Below are 21,444 nucleotides of genomic sequence, written 5' to 3'. Positions count from 1 at the left end.
GCAAAGGGGATATGTCATCAATTATATGTAAGCATGACAGGGCCAACCAAACATTCATGCAGTGTTACTATCGAGCTGAATTCTAATGCCTGGCTATAAAAATAATTACTTAAGGTTTTGAGCTTTCTTCTTGGCTTCTTCTTTTCATTGCCTAGGACAGCAACATGACAGAAACACAATGAGGAAAATAGGAAAATAGGATTCCTAAAATGCACAGTTTATATTTCAGTAGTGAGATTATGTTTCAAATGCCTATACCTAAAATAGAAAAGCATGGATATCACTGTGAACACATGGACTGATGAGGAGAAAAGGGACCATTAAACAGAGGAGAAAATCAAACCTGACAGAATCAATGTCAAAGCTGATGGTGAATGTACAGAGTATTTTACCTCGGCACACCAGAGGCATTGCTGCCAGCACAGCACAAATAAATTCCCCTTGTCTTGTCACTGAGGAAATACACAGTTGGGATGAGAGTTCAGGTGAATATGTGATTCACCTCTCATCAAAGAAAGTGTTCTATATTGATCAGCTAGGATACACACTTATGAAATAACAGCTAATCAAACTACTCATTTTTCCCATGATCACATGGGCTACTGCAAAACCTACATTTCTCCTATCCCCTCATTTGGCCTTGAATTAGAGCTCCTTGATCCACTCATGCAAGGTGGTCCATAAAACACATCAAATAAACCATGTTGAATAAGCTTCCAATATCAAAATATTTATCAAAAAAGAAAACACTGAATGACCACAGACTTACTGGATATGAATACATATTTATAATTCAAAATCAGTGCAGTATTTATTGAAAATGAGAATTTTGGTATTCACAGAATGAATTTTATGATTGCTTCTAAAATTAACTAAGTTTGGTATATTATCTTACACTGTAAAGGACTTTTATAAAACAGTTATCATATCAAAGAACTGGCTGTCTCAAAAAAAATTAGCCAAAACATCTATATGCAACTTAATCACATCTTATTCACTTATGTCAGTGAAACTTCTCTCTCTGAGGCCTGACAGTTATCAAGTGAAATGAGCTGCTGTGGTTGACCCCAACTCTAGCACTCCCTCCTGCTTCCAGTACTCTCCACAGCAATAACCTCTTTTGTGAGACTGGGCATATGCTGAAGCAACTGGAAGTGAGTTGTCTCAAGTTTACTTGGCTTTAACTTCCAACACCCCAGCAAATGTCTTTCTTTCCTCCTTCTGTGTCCTTTCACAATCCCTCTTCCTTTGAAAAAGCGATTTTTAGAACTGTCTTTCTGATGCTTCCCTTCCTAACTGCTTTTTATGGATAATTGTTACCACTTTTTTCATCTGCATTCAGCAGTAGTATGCACTTGTAATCTCTCTTTTTTCATCTCATTTTCCTTCCCCTGTGGCTAGAATCATGCTCAGAAGTAAAAGGAAATTAAAGCTTTCCCTGGATTCTGTTATTTTTTAAATTGCTCTCCAGTGGTTCTTTTTCCAGATGTCTCTAAAGGAAGGCTATTCCCCTGCTATTCAGAGCTGTGTCCAAGGACCAGCACCAACATCACCTGAGTGCTCATGAGAAATGCAGACTCCCATACCTGCTGAGTCAGAATGTGCACTTTCCAGAAGTTCCTCAACGAATTCATGACAATTTGAATGCCCTGTTCTACACTGATGTGCTTCCATATTGGTTTACCCTTATTGGCCTTTTTGGCCTAGCCTCAATTTCTTCCCTATTATGTACCTGAATTTAATACTACATTATAAGCCATAATGTTTCTAATGAACTTTTAATCAGGCAATACTTTCTTTAATTAATTTATTCTCCATAAATCACCCAAAACTATTCTTTTCAATTATGTTAATATGATACTATCCTATGCAGTTACATTTTCTATAATAACAAATTATAGCCATCCATGGCTGACCATTTACAGTGATGTTCATCTATGGTAGAAAACACACAGGTCTGTGTGGTAAATTACCTCAATCCTTAATGCCTCCCCAGTAGTGAGGATGACAGCAAGAGAAGGAAAATGTTACTGTAATTATATGACACATTTTGGTACTGGAAGCTCATTTTATCTTCCTTCCTATTTCTTTTTTTTTTTTTTTTGGAATTTTTTTTTTATTGATCATTCTTGGATGTTTCTCGCAGAGGGGGATTTGGCAGGGTCATAGGACAATAGTGGAGGGAAGGTCAGCAGATAAACAAGTGAACAAATGTCTCTGGTTTTCCTAGGCAGAGGACCCTGCAGCCTTCCGCAGTGTTTGTGTCCCTGGGTACTTGAGATTAGGGAGTGGTGATGACTCTTAACGAGTCTGCTGCCTTCAAGTATCTGTTTAACAAAGCACATCTTGCACTGCCCTTAATCCATTTAACCCTGAGTGGACACAGCACATGTTTCAGAGAGCACAGGGTTGGGGGTAAGGTCATATATCAACAGCATCCCAAGGCAGAAGAGTTTTTCTTAGTACAGAACAAAATGAGGTCTCCCATGTCTACCTCTCTCCACACAGACACAGCAACAATCTGACTTCTCTATCCTTTCCCCACCTTTCCCCCTTTTCTATTCCGCAAAACCGCCATGGTCATCATGGCCCGTTCTCAATGAGCTGTTGGTTACACCTCCCAGACGGGGTGGTGGCCGGGCAGAGGGGCTCCTCACTTCCCAGAAGGGGTGGCCGGGCAGAGGCGCCCCCCACCTCCTGGACGGGGCGGCGGCCGGGCGGAGGCGAGACCCCCACCTCCCTCCCGGACGGGGCGGCTGGCCGGGTGGGGGCTGACCCCCCACCTCCCTCCCGGATGGGGTGGCTGCCAGGCGGAGACGCTCCTCACTTCCCAGACGGGGTGGCTGCCGGGCGGAAGGGCTCCTCACTTCTCAGATGGGGCGGCTGCCGGGCGGAGGGGCTCCTCACTTCTCAGACGGGGCGGCTGCCCAGCGGAGGGGCTCCTCACTTCTCAGACGGGGCGGCTGCCGGGCGGAGGGGCTCCTCACTTCTCAGACGGGGCGGCTGCCCAGCGGAGGGGCTCCTCACTTCTCAGACGGGGTCGTGGCCAGGCAGAGGCGCTCACATCCTAGACGGGGCGGCAGGTAGAGGCGCTCCCCGCATCTCAGACGATGGGCAGCCGGGCAGAGACACTCCTCACTTCCTAGACAGGATGGCGGCCGGGAAGAGGCGCTCCTCACTTCCCAGACTGGGCAGCCGGGCAGAGGGGCTCCTCACATCCCAGATGATGGGCGGCCAGACAGAGACGCTCCTCACTTCCAAGACAGGGTGGCGGCCGGGCAAAGGCTGCAATCTCGGCACTTTGGGAGGCCAAGGCAGGTGGCTGGGAGGTGGAGGTTGTAGCTAGCCGAGATCACACCACTGCACTCCAGCCTGGGCAACATTGATCACTGAGTGAATGAAACTCCGTCTGCAATCCCGGCACCTCGGGAGGCCCAGGCTGGTGGATCACTCGTGGTTAGGAGCTGGAGACCAGCCCGGCCAACACAGCAAAACCCCATCTCCACCAAAAAAATACGAAAACCAGTCAGGCGTGGCGGCGCGCCTGCAATCGCAGGCACTCAGCAGGCTGAGGCAGGAGAATCAGGCAGGGAGGTTGCAGTGAGCCGAGATGGCGGCAGTACAGTCCAGCTTTGGCTCGGCATCAGAGGGAGACCGTGGAAAGAGAGGGAGAGGGAGACCGTGGGGAGAGGGAGAGGGAGACCATGGGGAGAGGTGGAAAGAGAGGGAGAGGGAGACCATGGGGAGAGGGAGAGGGAGAGGAGGAGGGAGAGGGAGAGGCAGAGGCAGAGGGAGAGCCTTCCTTCCTATTTCTAACACCCTGTTCTTCCTTCTTCTACAGATCAATTTGACTTTACTACCCTCCATTACATACATCCGTGTTTTTTTAATTTATTCCATATACACGCTGCCCTCCTCATTGTTTCTTTCTCTTTTATTCATTTCCTCTTCCCTCTCTCCTGACTTGCCTCAGGTCTTAGAGTATCTTAAAATGGAACTCATAACTCAGCTCCTTTAGTGGTACTCCCAATAGAATCAACTGCTGACCCTTGGTTAGAGACACAACTTATCACCATTTCATTTCTCCTTTACTTATTATACAGTTAATAGGACATTTTCTTTATACAGTTAATAGGACATTTTCTTTAGCTATTAGACTCTATTAGTGCTCATATTTTCAAAGAAACATTCCATCAAATGACTTTTTTTTTTGAGATGGAGTCTCACTCTGTCACCCAGGCTGGAGTGCAGTGGCAGGATCTCTGCTCACTGCAAGCTCCACCTCCCAGGTTCACACCATCCTCCTGCCTCAGCCTCCCAAGTAGCTGGTACTACAGGCACCCGCCACCATGCCCGGCTAATTTTTTGTGTTTTTCGTAGAGATGGGGTTTCACCATGTTAGCCAGGATGGTCTCGATCTCCTGACCTCATGATCCGCCCACCTCGGCCTCCCAAAGTGCTGGGATTACAGGTGTGAGCCACTGCGCCAGGCCTCCATCAAATGACTTTTTAAATAAAATACGGTTCTCACCTTCTCCTTTTCCATTGACTATTCTGTTTCCTTTTTCATGGGAAGGTCTACATAAAGGCTCTGACACTTTCTCGGGGACACACTGCTAAGGTAATATCAAGAATTAGTTTCCATTTTAAAATTATGATGAGTTGCATCAAGAGTTTCTTATCAATCTCTTTTTATGAAACTGAGTCTCACTCTGTCAACCCAGGGCTAGAATGCAGGGGCCTGATTATGGCTCACTGTGGTCTCGAACTGCTGACCTCAAGCAATCTTCCCACCTCAACTTCCTGAATAGCTGGAACTACAGGTGCATACCATCATGCCATGCTAATGTTTTTATTGTTATCTTTGTAGAGACAAGGTCTCATTATACTGCCCAGGCTGGTCTCAAGCTCCTGGGCTCAAGTAAATCTTCCACTTCTGTCTCCCAAAGTGTTGAGACAAGCAGTGTGCACCACCACACCCAGCCCTAATCAATTTCTTTAAATCAAACTCGATGTTGCCCAGGCATGGTGGCTCACACCTGTAATCTCAGCCCTTTGCAAGGCCAAGGTGGCTGGATTGCTTAAGTTCAGGAGTTTGAGACCAGCCTGGGCAACATAATGAGAACACATCTCTACACAAAAAATACCAAAAGGAATCAGGCATGATGGTGTGTGCCTGCAGTCCCAGCTGCTTGGGAAGCTGATGTGGGAGGATCACTTGAGCCTGAGAGGTGGATACTGCAGTGAGCCAAGATCATGCCACTACACTGCAGCATGGACAACAGAGCAAGACCCTGACTCCCCAAAAATTTCAATTTAAAATGTGAGAACAAAGAGGGATACAAACAAAAAACAAGCCTAATTAGTCAATGAAATATGAGCTTAAGCCAAGAAAGAAAACAAACAACATGAAGTACAATAAAGTACATAGGGAAATAGATCTATAACAGAGCCTTTGGTCTTTCATACCTGTGATAATACTAATTAATATTTATGCTGCAATTAATTAGTTTTTTGTAAGTACTTCTGTGATAGTGTTTCTTACTATAAGACATTCAATTAGCTAAATATGGTAATCTATCATTACCTGAAAGAACATTATTATAACAGAGAGAGAAAACTGGAACTTTCCATCAACTTTCCACCCAGAAAAAGAATTGGTCACCAGAATTCTAAAGAGTAATGTATGGCAGACACATGAAAAAATGCTCGTCATCACTGGCCATCAGAGAAATGCAAATTGAAACCACAATGAGATAATCATTTCACACCAGTTAGAACGGCAATCATTGAAAAGTCAGGAAACAACAGGTGCTGGAGAGGATGTGGAGAAATAGGAACACTTTTACACTGTTGGTGGGAAGCTAAACTAGTTCATCCATTGTGGAAGACAGTGTGGAGATTCCTCAAGGATCAAGAATTAGAAATACCATTTGATCCAGCCATCCCATTACTGGGTATATACCCAAAGGATTATAAATCATGCTGCTATAAAGACACATGCACACATATGTTTATTGTGGCACTATTCACAATAGCAAAGACTTGGAATCAACCCAAATGTACATCAATGATAGACTGGATTAAGAAAATGTGGCACTTAACACACCATGGAATACTATGCAGCATAAAAAAGGATGAGTTCATGTCCTTTGTAGGGACATGGATGAAGCTGGAAACCATCATTCTGAGCAAACTGTTGCAAGGACAGAAAAGCAAACACCACATGTTCTCACTCATAGGTGGGAACTGAACTATGAGAACACTTGGACACAAGATGGGGAACATCACACACCAGGGCCTCTCATGGGGTGGGGGGAGAGGGGAGGGATAGCATTAGGAGATATACTTAATATAAATGACGAGTTAATGGGTGCAGCACACCAACATGACACATGTATACATATGTAAGAAACCTGCACGTTGTGCACATGTACCCTAGAACTCAAAGTATAATAATAATAATAAGTAATGTATGGCTTGAAAAGGTATATTCAATAGAACATGAGTTGGGTCTAATAAAAAACTTAAGAAATGTTAATCTAAAATCTCAATGTTAAGATTCCAGTTAAATGATATTAGAAAATATATTGTAACCCTTTGCTACCGATGACCTAATTCTATTTTATTTCCTTTTTAATTATGGCACAATTTCTCAACATAACATATCAAAACTTATACACCCTTTAATATTAAAAAATAATACAATGTAAGCAATATTTTAAAAACAGTATTTAATTATTAGATACATTAGATTTATTATATTACTCATAACATTCCATTACATAAAAATTTATTTGTCTATTTATTCAGATTAAACAACTATTAAAGCTGAATGTCTTATGCCTGTAACCCCAGCACTTTGAGAGGCTGAGGTGAGCAGAACACTTGAGCCCAACAGTTAAAGACCAGCTTGGGCAACAAGGCAAAACCCTGTCTCTACGAAACTCAGCCGAGCATGGTGACACAGGTCTATGGTGACATAGCTCTATTGTTTCAACTACTTGGATTGCTGAGGTGTGAGGATCACCTGAGCCCAGGAAATGGAGATCGGAGTGAGCCAAGATCTCACCAGTGCCCTCCAGCCTGGGTGACAGAGTGAAACCCCATCTCAAAAAACAACAAGTAAAATGCTTCTTACATGGAAGACTGTATTCTAGGTACTCCAGCATACACAAAAATATGTTTACTGACCTCCAGTAGCTTACGGTATGCAGGAGCTTCCAATGATTATTTAAACAACTAAATAGAAAACCTTCTGACATTCAAAATTTCAGAATATGATATAAGGACTTTGAGTGGTTATTTTATTTTATTTTATTTTATTTTATTTTATTTTATTTTATTTTTTAAGATGTAGTCTTGCTCTGTCACTCAGGCTGCAGTGCAATGGTGCGATCTTGGCTCACTGCAACCTCCACCTCCTGGGTTCAAGCAATTCTCCTGCCTTGGCCTCCTGAGCAGCTGGGATTACAGGCATGCACCATCATGCCTGGTTAATTTTTGTGCTTTTTATTTTATTTTAGAGACAGGGTTTCACCATGTTGGCCAGGCTGATCTTGAACTCCTGACCTCAGGTGATCTACCCACCTTGGCCTCCAAAAGTGCTGGGATTATAGGTGTGAGCCACCATACCTGGCAAAGTAAATATTTTAAATAAACTACAATGACAAAATTATGATGATAAAGTCTTACCATACTGGTATTAAGAATCTCTGCTTCTAGAACTGGTTATTTGCAGCAAAATACATGTTATTCAATTAGATGAAGTGTTTTATATAAACTCTTCATGGACAACTCATAAACCACACAAAAATCCCTTTGCAATACAAATCTTGATAACATAAATTTAAATTTCTACATTTCCACAGTTTATATTTTTCAATCAGACACAATGTTGCCCAGGCTATTCTCAAACTCCTGGGTTCAAGCAATCTTCCCGCCTCAAACTCCCAAGTAGTGGGGACTATAGGGGTACACCACCAAACTCAGCTATTTTTCGACAATTTTTAATATTTTTTAGTCTCACTACAGAACCAATAATATAATAGAGAAACAATTTCTCCTAAAAACTATATAACACAAAAATAATAAGTTTCCAAGAACAAAAGGTATATGCTATGTGCTGAACATTTTTGCCACTAAAAATTATCAGGAAGATTCCATGATTACTGCAAATAATTTGATCCACTGAAGATTTATACAGGCATAAATATTAAGAAAGTCACACTCGTGCGATTTAAAAGTCAAAGTATTAGTATTTATCCAAATAAATCTTAACCAAATTTCATATTTCCTCTATTGGAGAAAGCATTTACTAATGTGATTTTCCTTGACTACTTATTTTCCAGTTCATTTATTTTTCAGCTCCCACCCTGTCACAGTACTTCTCAATCTCTGTTAGTTACCAAAGTTAAACACATTTTTTGAATCAACTAGTCATATGTATGTTTTTCTCTGAGCAACTTTCCATTAACACCATAAAACAATGATAGGTAAACCACTGCTAAATTTGAAAAGTAAACACATGCAAAACTACATTCAGAGTGAGAAAATTAATTTTACAAGAGACCACTTTACCTTAGTAGCAACACTCAAGACTTCATCATCCAATGCAGGCAATGAATCCACACACAGTTCATGCAAAATGCTTGAGAGCAAAAATACACAATGAAAATGAGCAAGTTGATTTCTTTACAATTTTTTTAACTGCCGTTTTATATCCAGCTTCCCCCTCAAAAAAAGGAAAACATAATCTGGAGAAAGGTTAGTGATCCATATATTAAATTATGATTCTTGATATAATTAAAATATGTCCTCTGTTCTAAAAATAGATTTTATTTACCTACTTCTGCCTCCAACTGTCTAAATCTATAAAATATTCAATGAAAACTAACCTTGAGCTTTATAACAAATAGTGACAGTCAATATATTGGCAGAGCCTGACAATACTTTGCCCTCATAAATTATCTGTCCTGAAGATGAACTTAAAATTCAATTAATGGATGACATAAATTTTGTCATCTAAACTGGAAGAAAACTGATGACCTAAAACAAGGTAGAAAGATCCACTGTGTCTTTTCCGTGATCTGTCTCTGGATAAAAGTCTAATCTGCATCACTTCAAAATGGCAGTCTTGATTCCTCAGCATGGATCCAACTTAGGAAGGTTCTATTGATTTCCTTTGCCCTAAATTTGTACAGGAAAGCCCCTACAATATATGAAAGGTATGAAAGCTAAATGTACAGAAGTCAAATAACACAGGTGTATGTTCTTATTGAGAATAATTTTCCCAGAAAGATTAAAATATTAACAATTATAAAATCCCATTATTTTCACTCTATAGGTCCTACCTTATTGAGGTCCACATAAACTAGCAAGCCCTTAAAAATTTTCATAGGCACTCAGACACCCAAGGAGAGAGACTGCCAGAAAAAAACAGAGTCCTCATAGTTGTACCTCTATTTCCCTAAGTACTATCTAAGTATCTTTCTTCCTATGGGCTCCCACTTCCAGATTCCACTTCTGCAGGGCTCCACAGAAGTCTCCAATCTTCAAAACTTCAGTCTAAGAAAGCACAGATTCCTGAAAGGATGACCTCAAATGACCAGGAGTAGGAGCTCTCTATATCCCTGCTCCTGAAAAACAAGCTAACTGGAGTCTCCATCACCTGCCCCCAGCTATACACACTACCAACAACCCAACTGAACTCCATGACTGATTTGCCACCTAATCATGCCCCTGACCCAGCCCACATGGACATGGGAAGGACATCAGTGAACTGGGAAAAGAGGTAGAGGTGAGGAGACAACTGCCCTGTGCCACACGTCTATGTAGTTCAGCAATCTCCAGCCCCTTAGTACTCCAGGGGCTCTAAGCCACCCCTTTGTAAGTCAGGATGGAAGTAGATGACACCACATTTCTATCTGCTGTAGACACTCCTTCCAGTGTCTCAAAATGTTTTAGCATCTTTCAGTAAAATCTTCAAGTTTGTCAGTCCTTGATTTTAAAAAAATCAGCAAACTTTTTCGAGCTCCCTTGAACCTTCTATTTTAATGTGCCTTTGTAGATAATTCCCAACATCTTGTGTCCTTCTTTTTATAATTCATCTTTATCAAACTTGTCATAAACCCCAATACTTTGATCTCTTATAGGAGAGTCCATACTCCTATCCAATCCAGTGTTGTTTATCTTCAAACTTGGACTTCCCCTGCTCATTCCATTCTTATCTACTTCCATTTGGTTCACCAGCTAATTCCATTCTCATTCTATCCGCAGACTCACTCCCGGTTGTATTATTAAAACACACGCCAATAGGACATAAAAAGAAGCAAGAGTACTGGGCTTTACCATGAGTTCAAATCTCATTTCTGCCAATTCCTATGTCTAAAAAAAAAGCATCCTAATCTTTTTGAGCCTCACATTCTGTATCTAGAGAATCACTTGACCAGAATGTTCAACACAGGTAAAAATACTAGAAGGTATTTTAATTCATTCCAAGATTCCTTAAAATCCTGTAATTCTATGTCCTCTTGATTCTGTCTATAGAAAAACTTGGAATACATAGCCAGCAGAGTTTGAAAAAATAATAGAACAAAAGAAACACCAAGAAAAGCAGAGAAGAAAGTTTTATAAAATGAAGACAAGATTATAGAAAAGTCATGGAAAAAGCAACAAGACTAAAAAATGTATTATGGAAGTAAGCAGAAATACTTGCCTAAATGGAAAACCAAACTGGGTAGTCAAATAATTTGTCTCTAAGACTTGCCTCAACTTGCTTTGGTAAAACTTACAGTCCTGTGGTCAAAGCTAAGTCAGATCTGCCCTAGAGCCTTTGATGGTAAAAACAAAACACTGGCTACCACTGAAATCTTCAAATTTATTAGGACTAACCACATCCTAACAATAAACTTAAATGAGAGTTCAAGGTATTTAAACTCTCATTAACTTATACATTCATCAAATTAATGAATCTGATTAATCTGATTCAGACCTATACCTTGATCCAAGGGCTGCACAGATATCTATCAATCTATGCTGAGGAGCAAGAGAAAGGATTTGGAAGGCAGGTAGGCTGATGGTCAAACTGTAGGCCAGCTACTTTGTTAACTATGGGATCATGAGGCAATTAATCAGCTCTAATCCATAGTTGTTTATTTAAAAGTAGGTTATAGGAACACAGATGTTATGATGGCTTTATGAGATGATAAATGCATAGAACATATTAGGATGTCTAGCCCAGAATACAACACTCAACAGATATTAGTTTCTTCCATCTATATTTTCTTTTTTTTTTCTTTTATTATACTTTAAGTTTTAGGGTACATGTGCACATTGTGCAGGTTAGTTACATATGTATACATGTGCCATGCTGGTGCACTGCACCCACTAACTCGTCATCCAGCACTAGGTATATCTCCCAATGCTATCCCTCCCCCCTCCCCCAACCCCACCACAGTCCCCAGAGTGTGATGTTCCCCTTCCTGTGTCCATGTGATCTCATTGTTCAATTCCCACCTATGAGTGAGACTATGCGGTGTTTGGTTTTTTGTTCTTGCGACAGTTTACTGAGAATGATGATTTCCAATTTCATCCATGTCCCTACAAAGGACATGAACTCATCATTTTTTATGGCTGCATAGTATTCCATGGTGTATATGTGCCACATTTTCTTAATCCAGTCTATCATTGTTGGACATTTGGGTTGGTTCCAAGTCTTTGCTATTGTGAATAATGCCGCAATAAACATACGAGTGCATGTGTCTTTATAGCAGCATGATTTATAGTCATTTGGGTATATATCCAGTAATGGGATGGCTGGGTCAAATGGTATTTCTAGTTCTAGATCTCTGAGGAATCGCCACACTGACTTCCACAATGGTTGAACTAGTTTACAGTCCCACCAACAATGTAAAAGTGTTTCTATTTCTCCACATCCTCTCCAGCACCTGTTGTTTCCTGACTTTTTAATGATTGCCATTCTAACTGGTGTGAGATGGTATCTCATTGTGGTTTTGATTTGCATTTCTCTGATGGCCAGTGATGATGAGCATTTTTTCATGTGTTTTTTGGCTGCATAAATGTCTTCTTTTGAGAAGTGTCTTTTCATGTCCTTCGCCCACTTTTTGATGGGGTTGTTTGTTTTTTTCTTGTAAATTTGTTTGAGTTCATTGTAGACTCTGGATATTAGCCCTTTGTCAGATGAGTAGGTTGCGAAAATTTTCTCCTATGTTCTAGGTTGCCTGTTCACTCTGATGGTAGTTACTTTTGCTGTGCAGAAGCTCTTGAGTTTAATTAGATCCCATTTGTCAATTTTGGCTTTTGTTGCCATTGCTTTTGGTGTTTTGGACATGAAGTCCTTGCCCATGCCTATGTCCTGAATGGTAATGCCTAGGTTTTCTTCTAGGGTTTTTATGGTTTTAGGTCTAACGTTTAAATCTTTAATCCATCTTGAATTGATTTTTGTATAAGGTGTAAGGAAGGGATCCAGTTTCAGCTTTCTACATATGGCTAGCCAGTTTTCCCAGCACCATTTATTAAATAGGGAATCCTTTCCCCATTTCTTGTTTTTCTCAGGTTTGTCAAGGATCAGACAGTTGTAGGTATGCGGCGTTATTTCTGAGGGCTCTGTTCTGTTCCATTGATCTATATCTCTGTTTTGGTACCAGTACCATGCTGTTTTGGTTACTGTAGCCTTGTAGTAAAGTTTGAAGTCAGGTAGTGTGATGCCTCCAGCTTTGTTCTTTTGGCTTAGGATTGACTTGGTGATGCGGGCTCTTTTTTGGTTCCATATGAACTTTAAAGTAGTTTTTTCCAATTCTGTGAAGAAAGTCATTGGTAGCTTGATGGGGATGGCATTGAATCTGTAAATTACCTTGGGCAGTATGGCCATTTTCACAATATTGATTCTTCCTACCCATGAGCATGGAAATTCTTCCATTTGTTTGTATCCTCTTTTATTTCCTTGAGCAGTGGTTTGTAGTTCTCCTTGAAGAGGTCCTTCACATCCCTTTTAAGTTGGATTCCTAGGTATTTTATTCTCTTTGAAGCAATTGTGAATGGGAGTTCACTCATGATTTGGCTCTCTGTTTGTCTGTTGTTGGTGTATAAGAATGCTTGTGATTTTTGTACATTGATTTTGTATCCTGAGACTTTGCTGAAGTGCTTATCAGCTTAAGGAGATTTTGGGCTGAGACAATGGGGTTTTCTAGATATACAATCATGTCATCTGCAAACAGGGACAATTTGACTTCCTCTTTTCCTAATTGAATACCCTTTATTTCCTTCATCTATATTTTCTTAGTTCACATAATTTTTTAAATCTATGAAATCTTACCTGACTGCAGATTCATCAGAAATTTCAACATCTATTAAAGAAGAAGGTAAAATGCATTTTAAATCAATAATAAATGTACAGAATATTAAAAGCATAAGAATGCACAGTGATGCATGCCTCTAATCCAAACTACTTGAGAGGATGAGGCAGGAGGATCACTTGAGGAGCCCAGAAGTTTGAGACCAGCTTGGGAAACATAATAAAACTCTACCTTCATAAAAAAAATTGTGCACAATTGTGTGTATGCTTTAGATCCTGTTTTTTTTGTTGTTGTTGTTGTTGTTTTTGTTTTGGTTTGGTTTGGTTATTTAAAGCATAAGACGGATGCTTTGTTACAAAGCATTCCTTTGGGAGCATGCCTGCGAACTTATTAGAATTAACATTCATCATACTTATTGATAGGTAATTAATGCAGTAAGAACTCTTCCCTTTGTATTTATTAGATGCAAAGAAGAATAAATTTATTAAAATTTGGTATCTACAAGTGAACTGCAGTATAGAAGTCATCCTAGCCAAACCCTATGAGATTGGGTAAAAATGGTATTGTTAGCAGAACAGGTGTGATGAGTCAACAGTGTCAAAGAGCATGATTTCTGGACCAAAATATGAGGGGCCATTACAGCAGAGTATACAGTAGTACCCCTTATCCACTATATGCACAGAAAGACATACTTGACAAGTTTTTCTCTGCTGTCACACCACAGCAACAATCATCAACAAAGAAGGCTTCTGTGACCAAATGTGTGGAGAGTTTTTCCCCACCAACAAACAAGCAATCATTTCTGCTGATGACACAATTCAATTCTCACACCCTATCTACAGATAACATCAGATTTAATTTAATTTATAAATTAAACTTTGTCATAGATATGTATGTATAGGGAAAAACAGCTTATGATTCAGTACTATTCATGGTTTCATGCTTCCACTGGGGGTCTTGGAATGTATCTCCCACAGTTAAGGTATAGCTACTGCACTTATTTTGTTATAACATAACACAGCCTCTCTAGTTCTTCAGTTCAAACTGTTTAGTTTAGAATAAAATGCGCTATCACCAGAAACCAACAAAACATAGGAATCAGACCAGAAACAGGAATCCTTGCAAAGACTTTCCAGCCACCAGTGGAGAAGATCTCGAGGGAGATCAGTGTGTTACTCTGGCTAATACTCTTCTGGGGAAGTTGCTGGGTGGTTTCCTTAGTTGTAGATATTTGCTCTGGCCTAAGTATAACAAGGCCCAAATTCACCTGCCATTTTACCTCCCACAGAAAGAACCACTGGAAAGATCACTCCTTTAAGAGCTTATCCACATTCAGAGAGAAGCTGAATAAACACTGGGGAGGTATGGCAGGGTGCCGGGCAGTATTATCTGATGTGAAAAAATATATAGAAAGAAAACTATCAATGCCCTTTTACTACCAGAATGTTCTAATGCTTGCCCTTCTCCCTAGTAGGAAAAAAAATTTTTTTCACCTCGCATAAAGCAAAACTCCCTTGTCATCCCTTATGACAGAATCTAGTTGTAGGTGAGTCATGTCATCATAATACAGGCTGTTGTCAACCTCATCCCTCAAAGGAAGAGGATCAGTGAGGAACTTATGTATTTACCTAATAGCATTCACTGCCTGGTCTTATTTCCAACCGAAGGTAAGTATGAAAGACTTTGTGATTCCAGTTTTATAAAGTACAACCCTTTGCACTTGTCCCCTTCCATTGCTAGAGAGTCTATCTGGACCCACCTCACAGAGCAAGATGCTGCAGGTTGTGCTGTGTGGTACGGTGTGGTGTCCTTTTCCTCATCCCTTTCTATTATGTGCCACATATCTATACAAATCATGTTTTCTAAGTATGTAAATCGTATCTCATCAGAATACACCATTCTTTACAATGATAAAGAAGCAAAAGAAAAGCAAAAGGACAAAGAACATCTTAAATGACTACATTCAACTGCCATGGAGCTTTAATTTTTTAACTATTCAAAAAGATATCCACTCTTCTTATTTCAACTATATGACTCTTCTGAAAAAAGTAAAACTATGAAGACAGATTAAACATCAATGGTTGCCACAAGTTGCTAGGGAGTAAGGGAGAGATGAACAGGCATAGTATAATTTTTAGGGCAGTGAAACTGTTCTGTCGATAATATTACAGTAATAGATACATGTCACGTCATTATATATTTGTCCAAATTCACAGAATGTACAGCATCAAGAGTGAGGCCTGATGTAAATTATGAACTTTGAGTGATTATAACGTGTCAATGTAAGTTCATCAGTTGTAACAAATGGACCACTCTGTGGTGGAAAATACTAATAATGGGGGAGGCTATGCGTGTGTGGGAGGCATGGGATATATGAGAAATCTCTGTACCTTCCTCTCAATTTTGCTGTGAACCTAAAACTGCTCTAAGAAATAAGGATATTGATTTAAAAAAGATATTCAGCTGGGCTCAGTGGCTCATGCCTGTAATCTCAGCACTTTGGGAGGCAAAGGTGGGTGGATCACCTGAGGTCAGGAGTTCAAGACCAGCCTGGCCAACATGGCAAAACCTCATCTCTAATAAAAGTACAAAAATTAGCTGGGCATGGTGGCTGGCACCTGTAATTTCAGCTACTCGGGAGACTGAGGCAGGAGAATCGCTTGAGCCTAGAAGACGGAGGTCACAGTTAACTGAGATCACACCACTGCACTGCAGCCTGGGAGACAGAGTGAGACTCCATCTCAAAAAAATTAAAAAGAGATATTCACTGTCTATGCATCCCAGGATCTCCAGAACAACAATTAAAATAAATAAATAAAAAAGATGGCTGGAGTCAGTAGCTCATGCCTGTAATCCCAGCACTTTGAGAGGTCGAGGTGGGTGGATCACCTGAGGTCAGGAGTTCTAGACCAGCCTGACTAACATGGTGAAACCCCATCTCTACTGAATATAAAAAATTAGCAGGGCATGATGGTGCATACCTGTAGTTCCAGGTACCTGGGAGGCTGAGGCAGGGGCGTCATTTGAACCTGGGAGGTGGAGGTTGCAATGAGCCAAGATTGTATCATTGCACTGCAGCCTGGGCAACAAGAGCAAAACTCTGTCTCAAAAAAAATAAGTAAATAAAATAAAACATAAAGATATTTACTGAACCTGTTACTATGATATATTTAAGCAAGACACGGTGACCCTAAAAATTAGAGATTATTGAAGACCAAAGTAACAACATGTGGTCATTATTTCTCAAATCAAAGTATATAAAATATATAAAATAAATAAATGTAATTGCATGCTTAGGTAAGAAAATATTGATAAAAATGATTGAACATTTTATCTTATTTCATAATTCTAAGCAGGGATTTAGCACAATATGAAAACTAGATTATTCATGTAATCCAAATAAAAGACAATTTTTATTCTAATTTTAACTCAGAAATTATTTTGCTTATTTAATTTAACAATTTTACTGAAAGGTAAATGAGATAAATAGGACAGATAATAATTACCTGACATTGCTATGGTAACTTATATATAAATAGCTGTTCATCACCAAAAGTCAAAAAAGTAACCAGCACTGCAACTTAAGATGGATCATACAACAGAAATTAGTACCAAGTTACCTTATCTTATAATATTATGTTATTAAAATGAAATGTTAAAACAACGCCAAAAATTAAGTTGGGGCTATACAAAGTGTGCAGAAAAGATTTCATGTAACAGGCAAGAGACTGCCATACTTAGAAAGGCTTGCATGAAAGGCTGGCCCTTGGCTGCTGTTTAGGAAATTGGAATTGGGAGGGTTTCCAGCATTCCCTGAGAAGAGTGGCTCACTGTGTCTAAAGTGTTTATAAAAACCGTGTGTTTACTCTGAACAGCTGCTTTCCTTATAAGAGTCTGGAATTTGGGTACATGTGAGGGAGAGTAACCTCCATAGAAAAACTTAGACACTTAGTCTCTAACGAGACTCTGGTACTGGTAGACATCGCTGCACATATGTTGTCAAAATGTGAGCCTGGGAGAATTAAGCAGATCCTGGGAACTCCACAGGACAGAACTCCTGGAAGCTTGTGCCTCGTTTCCTCCGGAATTGACCACATGCAACTTTTTCCTCTACTAATTTTGCTTGTCCCCTTTCTTGTTATCAATTAAAGATCTGTTCACTCTGATGGTAGTTTCTTTTGTTGTGCAGAAGCTCTTTAGTTTAATTAGATCCCATTTGTCAACTATCGCAAGAACAAAAAACCAAACACCGCATATTCTCACTCATAGGTGGGAACTGAACAATGAGATAACATGGACACAGGAAGGGGAGCATCACACTCTGGGGACTGTTGTGGGGTGGGGGGAGGGGGGAGGGATAGCATTGGGAGATATACCTAATGCTAGATGACGAGTTAGTGGGTGCAGCGCACCAGACTGGCACAAGTATACGTATGTAACTAACCTGCACAATGTGCACATGTACCCTAAAACTTAAAGTATAATAATAAAAAATAAATAAATAAATAAATAAATAAATAAATAAATAAATAAATAAAACATATGAGTATGACTATTTGCTGAGTCCTATGAGTCCTTCTAATGAACCACCAAACCTGGGGTGGTCTTGGGAAACCTTGAAACGATGCATTGTGTAAGATTTGTATTAAGTCGATATGATACATGTAACTGTAATCAGATGGTTATTTCACAGAATAACTTTCCCTAATCTGTTTTTCTTTTCTTTTTTTCCCTTGATATTTGACTTGGAGATTCTTGTATTTATATATCTATCCAATTGAACAAAACCATAAAACGAATAAATGAAACAATAATGTCAGAAAATAATGTGAAATAAGCAGCAATCCTCTTTTAACTGAATAAAAAATAGAGAATCTGGGTGATTGACAATATGTTCTACAATATGAATGTTTTTAGAAAAAAATGAAAAAGTCAATTTTCTGCAACTCAACTGGGCTTCATTCCTTATTATAATAATCGTGCAGGCCAGGTGCAGTGGCTCAAACTTGTAAATCCAAGCATTTTGGGAGGTTGAGGCAGGAGGATCACTTGAGACCAGAAGTTCCAGACCAGCCTCAGCAATACAGTGAGACCTCATCTATTAAACAAACAAACAAAAACAAAACAAAACAAAAAAAACCCTTAAAAAGAAACTTAGCCAAGTGTGGTAGTGCATGCCTGTAGTCGCAGCTACTTGGGAGGCTAAGGTGAAAGGATCATTTAAGGCCAGGAAGCAGAAGTTACAGTGAGCCAAGATGGCACCACTGCATGCCAGTACTGGAAACAGAGGGAGACCCTGTATCAAAAATAAATAAACAAATAAATAATTGTGTATCAAGCCAGATGTAACCACACAAAACTGTAGTCTCAGCTACTCAGGAGGATGAGGTAGGAGGACTGCTTGAGCCTAGGAGTTCAAGGCTACAGTGAGCTATGATTGCACCAATGAACAGACACTGTATTCTAGCCTAGGCAACATAGAGAGACCCCATCTCCTATGATAATAATAATTGATTAATTGTGCATCATTCAAGTAAATTGTATAACTGGAGAAAAACATATGATTATTGAATATACTATTATAGTCTACTACTGACCATAGAGTTCCTGTTTACTTGCTTCTAATCTTTTTCTTTGTTTCTCATAAAACTAAAAACATGATTTAGACCCATTAAAGGCAGTTCATGGCAAAACAAGTCAAAAAGTCAAAAGAATTGCATCCAAACAGTAGGATGTGTTATCCACCGCTCTCTATGAACAGTTGGATTTGGTCATTAAGAATCAGCAGGACTTTTAACTTTGTGCCTGTGTGCACACGTGTGTGCACATGTGCGTGTGTGTATGTGTACGTATGTAAACTATGACAGATAAAATCATTTTGCTTCTGTAAGAATATGTAATATAACTTGTGCTTCTCATGAAGGAATTGCTTTTCCATCTTCTGTGCTCAGTAGCTATCTTAAAAAAATAATCTCCTATTTGTATGGGTGCACACTGGTTCAGTTCTACAGCTCTTATTGCCATTTATTTATGGTACCCGAAAGGGATTGCTGAGTTCCTGGTTCTAAAGACAGTTACTTTCTTAGTGACACAAATCAATATGTAATACAGTTCACCCTTGAACAGCAAGGGTTTCAACTGCAGGGATTCACCTATATGCAGACTTTCTTCTGCCTCTGCAATGCAGAGACAGCAAGATCCACCTCTCCTCTTCCTCCTCAGCCTAATCAACCTGAAGATCATAAAGACCTTTGCCAGGATCTACTAATGCTTTATGAAAAGTCAATATGTTTTTCCTGATGATTTCCTTTCTAACAGCTTCATTTCTCTAGCTTATTTTATTGTACGAACACAGTATATCATAATCCAGCACAAATAAAATAGGTGTTCATTAACTGTTTATGTTATCAGGAAGGCTTCCAGTCAATGGTGGGCTATTAGTAGCTAAGGTGAAGGAATCAAAAGTTATACTCGGATTTTCAACTGCACAGGGATCAGGGTCCCTTACCCCCACATTATTCATGGGTCAACTGTAGTTATTGTTTACTAAATGTAAACAATTTATTATAAAAATGAAATAGGAGATCCCTTTGTATAACAAGTCCAATTTGTTATAATGTGACTATAGAGGAAACATACAACATATTAACTTAAAAATGTTTGTTCTTATTTATGCAAAAATATTATGTAGGGTTTTAGGGATGATAATTAAATAAATGAATGTTTGTAGACCATAATGTTTGAGATTATAAATTAGCTACAACTACCTTCTTAAATAAATCTGAATTTCAAACTAAAGAAGTTAAATTTAAAAAATTAATTTACATACGTATATACATATATACACATTCAATTTACACATATTTTTAAACTGGTCTTTTTTGACTGACACTACCTTAATCTTATGTCTTACTTCTTATTTTCTTATCAAGAGTAGGACCACCAAGAGAATTAAGAAATTCACTCTCAGAAGCCTTACCTCGTTTCTCCTTTTTAAGTATCTTCTTTTTACGTTCCAAAATTTGTTGTTGAATTCTACATATACAAAAGTAATAAATAAAATTGCTATTTTAATACTGAAATAAAAAATATTTACCAAACATATTAAATTCCAAAACCATTTCAGGCAATATCAGACCTAATATCAGAATTTTAATGTCCCATACACTTCAAATTTTTAAACCTTACAAGCTTATTAAGCTTATAATTAAAGAAGAAAAGAAAGTGAAGTACTCATAAATGGAGGAAGCACAGCTCAGTAAATTAACTCTAGTTAGCTGGATATCATGCAAACTGTCCTGCACTCAGAGTAAGTCCTCACTCTGTAACCAAAATACCTCGCTCTGTAGGTAATTTGTTTTCAGACAAGTTGTTTCTCTTAGGCTCCATGGTTTCTTCTAAAAAATAAGGATTCTGCTACCTTACTTCACTAGGTTGTTTAGAAGATCTAATGAGATTACATGTTTAAATGTTCAGAGAAATAGTAAAGCAATGGAATAATTTATTCTTGAACCTTATTGCTGAAATAATTTTGGAATCCCAAATAGTGCTCCGTGTGTGTTTTTCTATAAGTTCTAATATTCAAATGTTGCAGTTTTCAGAAAATGTTATTAAGTGCTAATTTTGGTTATTACTTGCATTCATTGTGGCTTGTAATTCAGGGCATTTTACCTATTTCATAACTTATTACTAAATTTATATATATATATATATATATATATATATATATATATATATATATATATATATATATAAATTTAATGAGCTCATCATTGAACTCATCAATCACACCAAGGGCAGAAAACTAATAGGTGTCAAAACCTGGCTTGGACAACTACCACTCCTTCTCTACCTCCTCAAACTCTGAGCCAGCAGATTTGTGCTTGGCTGCTGGATCTCCATGGTCCTCTCCAACTAACAGACAAGACAAAACCCTGTTTTGATTGTTTTTCAGTTCCATGAAGGAAATGCAAGTTGACATTTTCTCATTTCCAAGACATGTACTAACAACATGTAACATCCCCTTATTACTCAGCTCTGTTCCCATTTCAGAGATCACCGTACATCAATAGTTTCACAGTGATAATCACAATTTCAATATTGCATGTCACCTGTTTTGGTTTTCCTC

Source organism: Homo sapiens, chromosome 9, assembly GCF_000001405.40.
Source record: "Homo sapiens chromosome 9, GRCh38.p14 Primary Assembly".
NCBI classification, from domain to species: domain Eukaryota; kingdom Metazoa; phylum Chordata; class Mammalia; order Primates; family Hominidae; genus Homo; species Homo sapiens.
This window is presented reverse-complemented; position numbering follows the sequence as displayed.